The following is a 16179-nucleotide window of genomic DNA, read 5'->3' on the forward strand; positions in this document are numbered from 1 at the left end:
AATTACAATATAATATTGCAGGAGCTGACAAACAAATTAGCCAGGATAGAGAGGAGCCTAACCAACCCGATAGCACTGTAAAACACAATACAAAAATTTCATAATGCAATCACAAGTATTAATGAGGAAAGAAACTCAGAGCTTGAAGTTTGTATTTCTGAAAGAAGACATGCAGAGAAGAATAGAAAAAAAGAATGAAAGGAATAAACAAAACCTTTGAGAAATATGGGATTATGTAAAGAGACCAAATCTACAACTGATTGGTGTACTTGAAAGAGCTGGGGAGAATGGAACCAATCAGGAAAACATATTTCAGGATATCATCAATGAGAACTTCCCCAACCTTGCTACACTGGCCAACAATTCAGAAAATGGAGAGAAGTTCAGTAAGATACTCCAAGAAAAAATCATACCCAAGACACATAAACGTCAGATTCCCCAAACTTGAAATGGAAGAAAAAAAAAGAAAAAAAAGCTCAGCCGCAGAGAAAAGCCAAGTCACCTACAAAAAGAAGTTGATCAGACTAAGAGCAGAGCTGTCAGTGAGAACCCTACAAGCCAAAAGAGATTGGGGGCCAATATTTAACGTTCTTAAAGAAAATAAACTTTAAGCCAGAATTTTATATCTGGCCAAACTAAGCTTAATCTGGGGAGAAATAACATCCCTTTCAGACAAGCAAATTCCGAGTTAATTCATGAACACCAGACATGCTTTTCAAGAGCTCCTGAAGGAAGCACCAATTTGGAAAGGGAAAATTATTCCCAGCCACCACAAAAACACACTCAAGTACACAGACCATTGACACTATAAATCAACCACATAAACAAGTCTGAAAAATAAAAATAACCAGCTAGCATCAAGATAACAAGATAAAATCTACGCATAACAATACTTACCTTAAATGTAAATGGGATAAATGCCCCAGTTGAAACACACAGGGTGGCAATTGTATAAAAACCAAGACCCATTGGTATGCTCTTCAAGACACCCATCTCACATGCGGGGACACACATAGGCTAAAAATAAAGGGATGGAGGAAATTTCACCAAGCAAGTGGAAAACCTAAAAAAGCAAGGGTTGCAGTCTTACTTTCCAACAAAACAGACTTTAAAGCAACACAGATTAAAAACAACAACAACAACAACAACAAAGAGGGTCATTACATAACGGCAAATAATTCAATTCAACAAGAATTAACTATTCTAAATATATATGCACCCAACACAAGAGTACCCAGATTCATATAACAAGTTTCTAGATATCTTGAAAGAGACTTAGAACACCACACAATAATAGTGACCGACTTTAACATCCCACTGACAGTATTAGAAAGATTATTGAGACAGAAAATTAACAAAGATGTTCAGGACCTGAACTTAGCTCTGGATCAAATGGACATGATATATATTTACAGAACTCTCCACATGAAAACAGCAGAATATACATTCTTCTCATCACTACATGACACTTTCTCTGAAATTGGTCACTTAGCCAGAAGTAAAACACTCTTCAGCAAATGCAAAAGAACTGAAATCATAATAAACAGTGGCTCAGATCACAGCACAATCAAATTAAAACTCACGATGAAATAATTTACTGAAAACCATAAAATTAAATGGAAATTGAATCACCTGCTCCTGAATAACTTTTGGGTAAATAATGAAATTAAGGCAGATATCAAGGAGTTCTTTGAAACCAATGAGAACAAAGACAAAACATACCAGAATCTCTGGGACACAGCTAAGGCAGTATTAAGATGAAAATTTATGGCATTAAATGCCCACATTAAAATGCCAGAAATGTCTCAAGTTACAACTTCACAACAAAAATAACTACAGGAACAAGAGCAAAGAAGTTCTAGAGCTAGCAGAAGACAAGAAATAACCAAAATCAGACCTGAACTGATGGAGATAGGGACAAGAGAAACCATTCAACAGATCAACAAATTCAGGAGCTGTTTCTTTTTCTTTGAAAAAACCAATAATATAAATACACCAGTAGTAGACTAATAAGGAAGAAAATATCAAAAATTAAAATGAACACAATCAGAAATAATAAGGGTTACCACTGACCCCACAGAAATAAAAATAACCATCAGAAAATATCATAAACACCTCTATGCCTATAAGATAACAAATTCAGTAGAAATGGATAAATTTCTGGACACATACACCCTTCAAGAATAAACCAGGAAGAAATTGAATCCCTGAAAAGACAAACAACAGGCTCTGAAATTCAGGCAGTAATAAATAGCCTACAAACCACAAAAAGATCAGAAACACAAAGATTAAAAGCTGAAGGTTATGACATTTATGAAGAAGAACTGGTACAATTCCCACTAAAATTATTTCAAAAAACTGAAACAGAGGGCTTCCTTCCCGACTCTTTCTATGAGAGCACATCATCCTGGTACCAAAACCTGGCAGACACACAAGAAAAAAAACAAAACTTCAAAAAATTTGCAAGAAGAAAACAACCCCATCAAAAAGTGGGCGAAGGACATGAACAGACGCTTCTCAAAAGAAGACATTTATGCACCCAAAAAACACATGAAAAAATGCTCACCATCACTGGCCATCAGAGAAATGCAAATCAAAACCACAATGAGATACCATCTCACACCAGTTAGAATGGCAATCATTAAAAAGTCAGGAAACAACAGGTGCTGGAGGAGATGTGGAGAAATAGGAACACTTTTACACTGTTGGTGGGACTGTAAACTAGTTCAACCATTGTGGAAGTCAGTGTGGCAATTCGTCAGGGATCTAGAACTAGAAATACCATTTGACCCAGCCATCCCATTTCTGGGTATATACACAAAGGACTATAAATCATGCTGCTTTAAAGACACAGGCACACGTTTGTTTATTGCGGCACTATTCACAATAGCAAAGACTTGGAACCAACCCAAATGTCCAACAATGATAGACTGGATTAAGAAAATGTGGCACATATACACCATGGAATACTATGCAGCCATAAAAAATGATGAGTTCATGTCCTTTGTAGGGACACGGATTAAATTGGAAATCATCATTCTCAGTAAACTATCACAAGAACAAAAAAACCAAACACCGCATGTTCTCACTCATAGGTGGGAATTGAACAATGAGATCACATGGACACAGGAAGGGGAACATCACACTCTGGGGACTGTTGTGATGAGGGGGGAGGGGAGAAGGATAGCATTGGGAGATATACCTAATGCTAAATGTCGAGTTAATGGGTGCAGCACACAAGCATGGTGCATGCGTACATATGTAACTAACCTGCACATTGTGCACATGTACCCTAAAACTTAAAGTATAATAATAATAAAATAAAAAAAGAAAAAAAAAAACTTCATGCCAATATTTTTGATGAACATTTATGCAAACATTCTTAACAAAATAGGGGCAAACCAAATCCAGCAGCGCATCAGAAAGCTTATCCACCACAATCAAGTAGGCTCCATCTGTGGGATGCAACTTTAATTCAACGTACACAAATCAATATGTGATTTATCACATAAACAGAACTAAAGACAAAAGCCACATGATTGTCTGAATAGATGCAGATAAATCTTTGCATCCATAAAATTCAACATCCATTCTTGTAAAAACTCTCAATAAACTAGGTATTGAAAAAAACATACTTCAATATAATAAGAACCATGTATGACAAACCCACAGCCAATATCATACTGAAAGGGCAAAAGCTGAAAGCATTCCCTTTTAAAACGGGCACAAGACAAGGATGCCCTCTCTCATGAATCCTATTTCAGATAGTATTGGAAGTACTGGGCAGAGCAATCAGGTAAGAGAAAAAGGCATTCAAATTGAAAGAAAAGAAATTAAACAACACCTGATGTCAGACGACATGATTCTATATCTTGAAAACCCCTATTGTCTCAACCCCAAAGCTTCTTAAGCTGATAAATATCTTTAACAAAGTCCCAAGATACAAAATAAATGGGCCAAAATCACTAGCACTAAATCCTTATATACCAACAACAGTCAAGCCAAGAGCAAAATCGTGAATGAACACTCATTCACAGTTACCACAAAAAGAATAAAATACCAAGGAATGTATCTAACAAGAGAAGTGAAAGGCCACTACAAGGAGAACTATAAACCACTTCTCAAAGAAATCAGACATGACATAAACAAATAGAAAAACATTTCATGCTTATGGATAGAAAGAGTTAATATTGTTAAAGTAGACACACTCCACAAAGAAATTTATAGAGTTAATAGTATTTCCGTTAAACTACCAATGACATTTTTCACAAAACTAGAAAAGCTATTTTAAAATTTATATGGAACCAACAAAGGCCTGAATAGTCAAGACAACCCCAAACAAAAAGAACTAAGCTGGAGGCATCACACTACCCAACTTCAAACTGTGCTACAGGGCTACAGAAACCAAAACAGCATGGTACTGGTACAAGAACAGACACACAGACCAATGAAACAGAATAGAGGACCCAGAAATAAGACTGCACACCTACAACTAACTGATCTTCGACAAACCTGACAAAAACAAGCAATGAAAAAACGACTCTGTACTCAATAAATGGTGCTGGGATAACTGCCTAGCCATGTGCAAAAAATTGAAACTGAACCCCTTCCTCCATCATCCTCTGCAACTAACACAGGAACAGAAAACTAACCACCGCATATTCTCACTCATAAGTGGGAGTTGAACAATAAGAACACATGGACACTGGAAGGGAAACAACACAACTGGGGCTAGTCAGGGAATGGGAGTCGAAGGGAGGGAGAGCATTAGGATAACTAGCTAATACATGTGGGACTTGAAGCCTGGATAACGGGCTGATAGGTGCAGTAAACCACCATGGCACACATATACCAATGTAACAAACCTACACATTCTGCACTTGTACTTCAGAACCCAATTTAAATTTAAAAAATAAAGAAAGATTCCTTACATCATATACAACAATAAACTCAACATGGTTTAAATGTAAAACCCAAGACTATAAAAACTTTGGAAGACAACCTAGGCAATACCATTCAGGACATAGGCATGGGCAAATATTTTATGATGAAGGCGCAAAAGCAATTAGAACAAAGAGAACATTGACAAATGGGATCTAATTAAACTAAAGAGCTTTTGCACAGCAAAAGAAACTATCAACAGAGTAAACAGACAATGTATAGAATGGGAGAAAATTTTTGCAAACTGTGCATCTGACAATAATCTAATTTCTAGCATCCATAAGGAACATAAATTTACACGAGAAAAACAAACAACCTTATTAAAAATTGGCCAAAGGACACACAGAAACACTTCTTGAAAGAAGACATACATGCAGCCAATAAGCGTATGAAACAGAAGTTCAACATCAGTGACCATTAGAGAAATGTAAATCCAAACCACAATGAGATATCATTTTATACCAGGTATAATGGTTACCATGAAAAAATCAAAAAATCACAGATGCTGACAAAGTTGTGGAGAAAAAGCAACATTTTTACCCTGTTGGTCGAGTTCAAACGTTGTGGAAGACAGTGTGGTGATTCTTCAAAGACCTAAAGAAAAGAATACCATTTGACCTAGCAATCTCATTACTGGGTATATACCCAAACAAATATAAGTCATTCTATTATAAAGATACCTGCACGCACAAGTTCATCACAGCCCTATTCACAATAGCAAAGACATCAAATCAGCCTACATGTTCATCAATAATAGACTGGTTGAAGAAAACGTAGTTCATATACAACATGGAGTACTATGCAGCCATAAAAAAGCACAAGATTATGTCCTTTGTAGGGACATGGATGGAGCTGGAGGCCATTATCCTTAAAAAACTAACAGAAACAGAAAACCAAATACCACATTTTCTCACTTATAAGTGGAGGGTAGATGATGAGAACACACAGAAACATGGAGGGGAGCAACACGCACCAGGGCCTATCAGGAGGTAGGGGGTGAGAGGAGGGAGAGAATCAGAAAAAATAACTAATAGTTAGTAGACTTAATACCTGGGTGATAAAACAATCTGCACAACCAAACTTCGGGACGGTATGTTTCCATATTTAAAGAACCTGCACATCCTGCCCATATACCCCTGAACTTAAAACAAAGTTCAAAAAAGAAAAACATTTTAGCAAAATGACAGACTATTTTTGACTACCTTCGTGTACAGTTCAGAGTCAGACTGCCCAGCTCTAACATCCTTATTTATGAGAAAGAAAGCATTCTCTCTCTTATCTGCACTATTATATTGGGTTTTCTTTTTTAATTTTTTTGAGACGGAGTTTCACTCTTATTGCCCAGACTGGAGTGCAATGGCGCGATCTCGGTTCACCACAATCTCTACCTCCCGGGTTCAAGCGATTCTCCTGCCTCAGCCTCTCAAGAAGCAGGGATTACAGGCATGCACCACTACGCCTGGAAAATTTTGTATTTTTGGTAGAGACTGGGTTTCTCTATGTTGGTCAGGCTGGTCTTAAACTCCAGACCTCTGGTGATCCGTCTGCCTCAACCTCCCAATGTGTTGGGATAACAGGCGTGAACTACAGCACCCGGTCTGGGTTTTCTTCTATATGTAGGAAAATGTAATCCTAACTAAAGTGCTAGCTTTGCCATGGAATCTCTGTGTAATTCTGGATGTTATGTCACTTTCCTAAGACTTTTTTCTATCTGCATAGTGGTGGAGGCAGTAGTGGGGAAGATTTAATTATACAAAGGGTCCATCAATCCATGTGTTAAGTGAGGATGTCACTACTTTCCAGACTCAGAGGACAGGGGACATATTGTTATGCTCCATGGAAGCTGTTTGGGGGTGGAGGTGGGGCTCACTTGCACACATTGTCTGTGGGCCTTGAAAGATCAAGTGTGTATGACCCTTCTTGAACAGAAGGTCCATGTGCCCAGTGCAGAACCCATCTATTTCTTCCCAAGTGAGGAAGATCTGGGAACACCCTGATCACAGCCTTGCTACACCAATCCTAGTTGGTAGGGACGTTAGACCATATGCATGTTGAGCTGTGGCTTAAGCATTTTGACATCTCACATCTCATTGGATATCTGAAAAACTGAGGTCTGGAGAGAAGCAGGGACTGGCCCAGAGATGATGAAGTGGGCAGAGTCCAAGGGAAAAAAGAGCATTCTGACCTCCTAGGCCAGGGCTCAACACTCTCATGGGGTTTGTTTTGGGAATGAGTCCCTGAGATCCTGGGGATTTTTGCCAATTTTCTCGTCATATGAAGCAAACTCATGTCTGCATCATAGAATTCCACAGGTTTGTGCATACACACACAGACTTCTCAGGCTAAAGGTCATAAGAGGAGTTAACGCTGATGGAGTGATGAGAAGAAAAAAGATAGAGGATAGGGGCAGCTTTGTCATGGGGTAGAAGCACCCCATCTTCTGGTAACATGCCCAGGACCCATAACATGGGCAGGGGAAGGCAATAGGCTGATGGCTTGAGAGGCTCAAGGCTTCCATGGATCTGACTGGGCTGCAGCCAACACCAGGATAGCTTTCCAAGGACAAAACCTTACTTTCTCCATTCATTAATCTGCATAATTAAAATGGTAAGGAATCCCCCTACACCCAATATGGAGAGGAATACAGTAGTGAAAACCTTCAATTTTTCCCTGTACAAATTGACATAATTGAACTGTGTGACCCCTAAATTTGAAAGGCTTAAAGAAGTGAGTTGACCTTGCTGTCTATCAATTACCACTGTACTCTCAGAACTTTGGAAATTGCTCTGTGTCCTCCGAAGGTCTTTCAGAGCAGAAAGTGGCCTAGGGGTGTGCGGGACTGAGCACTCAGGCTGGTGTAGAATGTGACAGATCCTCAGACCACTGCTCTGGGATCCAAGGAGAAGACCTTCTCGGTCAGAGCTTTGGGGATCTTTTTTTTGGAGGGGGCGATCTTTTTTGAAAGTGGAGACAGAATCGTTTTCCAGGGCTCCCTCATTTGCCCTCCTGTTTCATAGTATTTCTTTTTTCTGTCTTTCTTTCTTTCTTTCTTTCTTTCTTTCTTTCTTCTTTCTTTCTTTCTTCTTTCTTTTTCTTTCTTTCTTCTTTCTTTCTTTCCTTCTTTTTCTTTCTCTTTCTTTCTTTCTCCTTCGTTTCTTTTCTTTCTTCCTTTCTTTCTTCTTTCTCTTTCTTTTGTTCTTCCTTCATTCCTTCCTTCCGTTTCTTTCTTTCTTCTTTCTTTCTTTCCTCTTCCTTCATTCCTTCCTTCCTTTTCTTTCTTTCTTTCTTTCTTTCTCTTTCTTTCTCCTTCCTTCCTCCCTCCCTTTCTTTTCTTTCTTTCCTTATTTTCTTTTTTCTTTCTTCTTTCTTTCTTTCTTCTTTCTTTCTTTCTTTCTTTCTTTCTTTCTTTCTTTATCAGAGTCTCTCTCTTCTCGCTCTTTCACGGGACTGGAGTGGAGTGGCATGATCTCGGCTCACTGCAACCTCCACCTCCCGGGTTCAAGTGATTCACTGCAACCTCCACCTCCCAGGTTCAAGTGATTCTCCTGCCTCAGCCTCCTGAGTAGCTGGGAATATAAGGGCGTGCCACCAAGCCTGGCTAATTTTTGTATTATTAGTAGAGACGGGGTTTCGCCATGTTGTCCAGGATGGTCTCGATCTCTTCACCTCGTGATCTGCTTGTATCAGCCTCTGAAAAAAACTGAGATTATAGGTGTGAGCCACCACACAAAGCCTACAGTTTATTTTTCTTTGCTTGTTAAAATGTTTTAGTCAGCTAAAATTTACACAATATAGAGTTCTACATACTATCTAATATAAAGTGTAAAATTCAGTGCTTTTCAGTTTATTTACAATGCTATGCAACTGTCACCCTTATCAAATTCCAAAATAGTTTCATCACCCTCTCACCAAAAAAACTCCATATCCATTAAGCAGTAATTTATCATTCATCCACCGAATTTCCTTGGTAACCACTGATTGACTTTCTATCTCTAGTACTCTCTTTCTTTCTTTCCTTTTTTTTTTTTTTTTTTGGTGTCTCACTCTGTCACCCATGCTAGAGTGCAGTGGCACGATCTCGGCTCGCTGCAAGCTCCACCTCCCTGGTTCACGCCATTCTCCTGCCTCAGCCTCCAGGGTAGCTGGGACTACAGATGCCTGTCAGCACGCCCAGCTATTTTTCTTTGTATTTTTAGTAGAGACAGGGTTTCACCATGTTAGCCAGCATGGTCTCGATCTCCTGACGTCGTGATCTGCCTGCTTCGGCCACCCAAAGTGCTGGGATTACAGGCGTGAGCCATCACACCCGGCTTCTATTTCTAGTTTTCTATTCTAGTCACTTTATAGAAATATAATAATATAATATGTGACCTTTTTTCTTTGGCTTTTCTCTTTGAGCGTGTTTTCATTATTTATCCATGTTGTGGCACATATCAGTTCTGTATTTATTTTTATGGCTAGCTAATACTCCATTGTATAAATAATATTCTATTGGCCAGGGACGATGGCTCACACCTATAAACTCAGTATTTTGGGAGGCTGAGGCTGGTGGATCACCTGAGGTCAGGAGTTCTAGACCAGCCTGGCTGACATGGTGAAACACTGTGTCTACTAAAAATACAAAAATTAGCCGGGCGTGGTTCCTGAAAGCCCAATTGCTCAGGAGGCTGAGGCCAGGGAATCTCTTGAACCCAGGAGGTGGAGGTTACAGTGAGCTGAGATCGTGCCACTGCACTCCAGCATGGGTGACAGAGCAAGACTGTCTCAAAAAAAAAGAAAGAAAATGAGAGGAAATATGTGCAAACTACACAGCTGACAAGCGATTGATAAGCAGAATACAGAATAAACAAAAAACTAAATAAAAAATTAGTTTAACTTTAAAATGGGCAATAATCTTCAGAAACATTTCTGGAAAATGTAAGGGGCATAAACATAGAACCTAAAAGTTAGAGAAGAATTATGAAAAAACTGAAGGATATAGAAAAAATAATTTCAGACTATTCACATTAAAATTTAATTAGAGAGGGGGTGGAGCCAAGATGGGCGAATAGGAAAAGCCTTAGTCTAGAACTCCCAGCATCGGCAATGCAGAACACAGGTGATTTCTGCATTTCCAACTGAGGTACCGGGCTCATCTCACTGGGGAGTGTCAGAAAGTGGGTGCAGGACAGTGGGTGCAGCGCACCCCATGTGAGCCAAAGCATGGTGAGGCATCGCCTCACCCAGGAAGTGCAAGGGGTCAGGGAATACCCTTTCCTAGTCAAAGAAAGGGGTGACAGATTGCACCTGGAAAATCGGGTGACTCCCACCCTAACACTGTACTGTTCCAAAGGTCTTAGCAAACGGCATACCAGGAGATTATATCCTGCACCTGGCTCAGAGGGTCCTACGCCCACAGAGCCACAATCATTGCTAGCACAGCAGTCTGAGATCAAACTGCAAGGCAACAACAAGCCTGGGGGAGGGGCGCCCACCATTGCCGTGGCTTGAGTAGGTAAACAAAGCAGCCAGGAAGCTCCAACTGGGTGGAGCCAACTGCATCTCAAGGAGGCCTGCCTGACTCTGTAGACTCCACCTCTGGGGGCAGGGAATAGCCAAACAAATGGCAGCAGAATCCTCTGCAGACTTAAATGTCCCTGTCTGACAGCTTTGAAGAGAGTAGTGGTTATCCCAGCATGCAACTGGAGATCTGAGAACAGACAGACTGCCTCCTCAAGTGGGTCCCTGACCCCCGAGTAGCCTATCTGGGAAGCATCCCCAGTAGGGGCAGACTGACACCTCACACGGCCGGGTACTCCTCTGAGACAAAATTTCCAGAGGAACAATCAGGCAGCAATATTTGCTTTTCACCAATATCCGCTGTTCTGCAGCCTCCACTGCTGATACCCAGGCAAACAGGGTCTGGAGTGGACCTCCAGCAAACTCCAACAGACCTGCAGCTGAGGGTTCTGACTGTTAGAAGGAAAACTAACAAACAGAAAGTACATCCACAACAAAATCCCATCTGTACATCACAATCATCAAAGACCAAAGGAGAGAAAACTACAAAGATGGGGAAAAAACAGAGCAGAAAAACGGAAAATTCTAAAAATCAGAGTATCTCTCCACCTCCAAAGGAACACAGCTCCTCACCAGCAATGGAACAAAGCTGGACAGAGAATGACTTTGACGAATTGAGAGAAGAAGGCTTCAGACGATCAAACTACTCCGAGCTAAAGGAGGAAGTTCAAACCCATGGCAAAGAAGTGAAAAACCTTTAAAAAAATTAGATGAATAGCTAACTAGAATAACCAATGCAGAGAAGTTCGTAAAGGACCTGATGGAGCTGAAAACCAATGTACGAGAAGTACGTGATGAATGCACAAGCCTCAGTAGCCAATTCGATGAACTGGAAGAAAGGGTGTCAGTGATGGAAGATCAAATGAATGAAATGAAGTGAGAAAAGAAGTTTAGAGAGAAAAAGATAAAAAGAAATGAACAAAACCTCCAAGAAATATGGGACTGTGTGAAAAGACCAAATCTACATCTGATTGGTGTACCTGAAAGTTATGAGGAGAATGGAAACAAGTTGGAAAACACTCTGAAGGATATTATCCATGAGAACTTCCCCAATCTAGCAAGGGAGGGTGACATTCAAATTCAGGAAATACAGAGAACACCAAAAAGATAATCCTCAAGAAGAGCAACTCCAAGACACATAATTGTCAGATTCACCAAAGTTGAAATGAAGGAAAAAATGTTAAGGGCAGCCAGAGAGAAAGGTCGGGTTACCCACAAAGGGAAGCCCATCAGACTAACAGCTGATCTCTCGGCAGAAACTCTACAAGCCAGAAGAGTGGGGAACAATATTCAACATTCTTAAAGAAAAGAATTTTCAATCCAGAATTTCATATTCATTCAAACTAAGCTTCATAAGTGAAGGAGAAATAAAATCCTTTACATACAAGCAAACGATGAGAGATTTTGTCACCACCAGGCCTGCCCTAAAAGAGCTCCTGAAGGAAGCACTAAACATGGAAAGGAACAACCGGTACCAGCCACTGCAAAAACATGCCAAGTTGTAAAGACCATCGAGGCTAGGAAGAAACTGCATCAACTAACGAGCAAAATAACCAGCTAACATCATAATGACAGGATCAAATGCACACAAAACAATATTAACCTTAAAAGTAAATGGACTAAATTCTCCCATTAAAAGACACAGACTGGCAAATTGGATAAAGAGTCAAGACCCATCAGTGTTCTGTATTCAGGAAACGCATCTCACGTGCAGAGACACACATAGGCTCAAAATAAAGGGATGGAGGAAGATCTACCAAGCAAATGGAAAACAGAAAAAGGCAGGGGTTACAATCCTAGTGTCTGATAAAACAGACTTTAAAACAATAAAGATCAAAAGAGACAAAGAAGTCCATTACGTAATGATAAAGGGATCAATGCAATAAGAAGAGCTAATTATCCTGAATATATATGCACCCAATATAGGAGCACACAGATTCATAAAGCAAGTCCTTAGAGACCTAGAAAGAGACTTAGACTCCCACACAATAGTAATGGGAGATTTTAACACCCCACTGTCAACATTAGACATATCAATGAGACAGATAGTTAACAAGGATATCCAGGAATTGAACTCAGCTCTGCACCAAGCAGACCTAATAGACATCTACAGAACTGTCCACCCCAAATCAACAGAATATACATTCTTCTCAGCACCGCACCGCACTTATTCCAAAATTGACCACATAGTTGGAAGTAAAGCACTCCTCAGCAAATTGTAAAAGAACAGAAATTATAAAAACCTCTCTCTCAGACCACACTGCAATAAAACTAGAACTCAGGATTAAGAAACTCACTCAAAACCGCTCAACTACATGGAAACCAAACAACCTGCTCCCGAATGACTACTGGGTACATAACGAAACGAAGGCAGAAATAAAGATGTTCTTTGAAAGCAACGAGAACAAAGACACAACATACCAGAATCTATGGGACACATTCAAAGCAGCGTGTAGAGGGAAATTTATAGCACTAAAGGCCCACAAGAGAAAGCAGAGAAGATCTAAAATTGACACCCTATCATCACAATTAAAAGAACTAGAGAAGCAAGAGCAAACACATTCAAAAGCTAGCAGAAGGCAAGAAATAACTAAGATCAGAGCAGAATTGAAAGAAATAGAAACATAAAAAACCCTTCAAAAAATCAGTGAATTCAGGAGCTGGTTTTTGAAACGATCAACAAAATTGATAGACTGCTAGCAAGACTAGTAAAGAAGAAAAGAGAGAAGAATCAAATAGACGCAATAAAAACTGATCATTTATGTGGCTCAAGTTCTCTAATATAACATAGTACGGTCAAAATGGAAGGGTAAAAATTGCAAGACCACCTTAACGTTTGTCATCTTAAGTGTACTATAAAAATGCCTTTTAAATTAATTCAGTGAATAGGTTTTTAAGTGCATGTTTTAGATTATGCTGAACTGTCAAATACCAGCACATCCCTAATTTGCAGTAGATTAACAGCACTTTTTAGCACACATCACAGAGTTGTTCGGTGGCCAAATTGAAAAGGCACCTCCTCTCCATGTGGTCATTCAGAAACTCAAAGTTCTTTCATTATTTGTCTTCATCATCCATGAGTCGTGGTTGCCGTTTGTGTTCAGTCCCCTGAAAATAAAGTACTTTAAGAAATGCATGCGAGAAGACTTGATGGACTCATCTTAATGTGACTCACATCCATCTCACTCTACAACCATTAACAATAACTGGTCACGTTTCCACATCTCATGCAAATGAGGCTAAGAAATGTAATTCTGCTGTGTCCCTAATAAATGGGAGAATAGAATTTGTTGAATGACCAGAGTTTTCCGTAACATTGTGTCACTCATATGGATTTACTGTGTTTCTCAAATATTTATTAAACATCTGTCATAGCCAAGCACTGTGATAAGGAGTACAGGGAGGACAGAGAGCTGACTCAGCAGAGTCCTAGTCTGAAAGAAACTCACAATCTAAGAAAATAAGAAAAGTCATGTTAGGTGCTGCTATAAAGGCACATGCACACGTATGTTTATTGTGGCACTACTCACAATGCAAATACTTGGAACCAACCGAAATGTCCAACAATGATAGACTGGATCAAGCAAATGTGGCCCATATACACCATGGAATGCTATGCAGCCATAAAAAATGATGAGTTCATGTCCTTTGTGTGTACATGGATGAAGCTGGAAAAGATAATTCTCAGCAAACTATCACAAGGACAAAAAAAAACAAACACCACATGTTCTCGCTTATAGGTGGGAATTGAACAATGAGAACACTTGGACACAGGAAGGGTAACATTACCCACTGGGGAATGTTGTTGGGGGGGGAGGGGGGAGGGATAGCATTTGGAGATATACCTAATGTAAATGACGAGTTAATGGGTGCAGCTCACCAACATGGCACATGTATACATAAGTAACAAACCTGCACGTTGTGCACATGTACCCTAGAACTTAAAGTATAATAAATATATGTATAACATACGTATATATTATATACATGTTCAAGGGATTCTCCTGCCTCAGCCTCCCAAGTAGCTGGGATTACAAGCGCTGCCATTACTCCCAGCTATTTTTTGTATTTTTAGTAGAGAAGGAGTTTTGCCATGTTGACCAGGACGGTCTGGATCTCCTGACCTCATGATCCACACCCCTTGGCCTCCCAGAGTGCTGGGATTACAGGTGTGAGCCACAGCCCCCGGCCTATATGAGTTTTCAAATAGTTTTTTCTAGCTCCGTAAAAAATTTCATTGGCAGTTTGATGGAAATAGTATTAAATCTGTAAATTTCTTTGTGAAGTATAGCCATTTTAGTGATATTGCATCTTCCTATCCGTGAGCATGGGATGGTTTTCCATTTGTTTGTATCTTCTCTGATTTCTTTGAGCAGTGTTTTGTAAATCTCATTGTAGAGCTCTTTCACCTCCCTGGTGAGCTGCATTTCCAGATATTTTATTATTTTAGTGGCAATTGTGAATGGGATGGCCTTTCTGATTTTGCTGTCAGTGTGGCTATCGTTGGTGTAGAAAAATGTTAGTGATCTTTGCACATTGATTTAGTATCTTGAAACTTTGCTGAAGCTGTTTGTTAACTAAAGAAGCTTTGTAGATGAAACTACAGGGTTTTCTAGATAGAGAATTATGTTATCTGCAAACAGAAATAGTTTGGCTTTCTCTCTTCCTATTTGGATGTTCTTCGGATTTCTTTCTCTAGCCTGATTGCTCTGGTCAGTACTGTCAATACTAAGTTGAATAGAAATGGCAAGAGAGGGCATTCTTGCCTTCTACTGGTTTTAAAAAATAATGTTCCCGGCTTTTGCCCATTCAACACATTGTTGGCTGTGGGTTTCTTATAGACGGCTTTTATTATTTTCTGCGTCTATTGAGATAATCATCTTTTTTTTGTTTTTAGTTCTGTTTATGTAATGTATTACATTTATTGATTTGCACATGATGGACCAACCTTGCGTCCTAAGGAGGAAGCCTACTTGATCATGACGGATTACCTGTTTGATGTGCTGCTGGATTTGCCTCCCAAATATTTTGTTGAGAACTTTTGTATTGATGTTCGTCAAGAATGTTGGCCTGAAGTTTTCTTTCCCTTCTTTCTTTTTTTTTTTTTTTTTGACGGTGTCTCCCTCTGTTGCCCAGGCTGGAGTGGATTGCACTGGCGCGATCTCTGCTTAATGCAATCTCTGCCTCCTGAGTTCACGCCATTCTCCTGCTTCAGCCTCCCAAGTAGCTGGGACTACAGGTGTCTGCTACCAAGCCCGGCTAATTTTTTGTGTTTTTGTTGTGTCTCTGCCTGTTTTGGTGTCAAGATCATGCTGTCCTCATAGAATGAGTTGGGGAGAAGACCCTCCTTCTCAATTTTTGGGTATAGTTTCTGTAGGAATTGTACCAGCTCTTCTTTGTACATTTGGTAGAATTTGGCTGTAAGTCCATAAAGTCCAGAGCTTTTTTTTTTGATTGGCAAGCTACTTATTACCTATTTAATATCAGAGTTTTTTACTGGTCTGTTCAGGAAATCATTGTCTTCCTGGCTTAATCTTGAGAGAGTGTGTATATCTAGGAATCTATTTATTTCGTTAAAGTTTTCTAGTTTGTGTGTATAAAGTTGTTCATGTTAGTGCTGTCCCCAGTTAAATAAAAACAACTATTAGAAACCACTAAAGTTTAACACTTGTTTTTATA

Source organism: Homo sapiens, chromosome 21 (genome assembly GCF_000001405.40).
Source record: "Homo sapiens chromosome 21, GRCh38.p14 Primary Assembly".
Classification (NCBI taxonomy): Eukaryota; Metazoa; Chordata; class Mammalia; order Primates; family Hominidae; genus Homo; species Homo sapiens.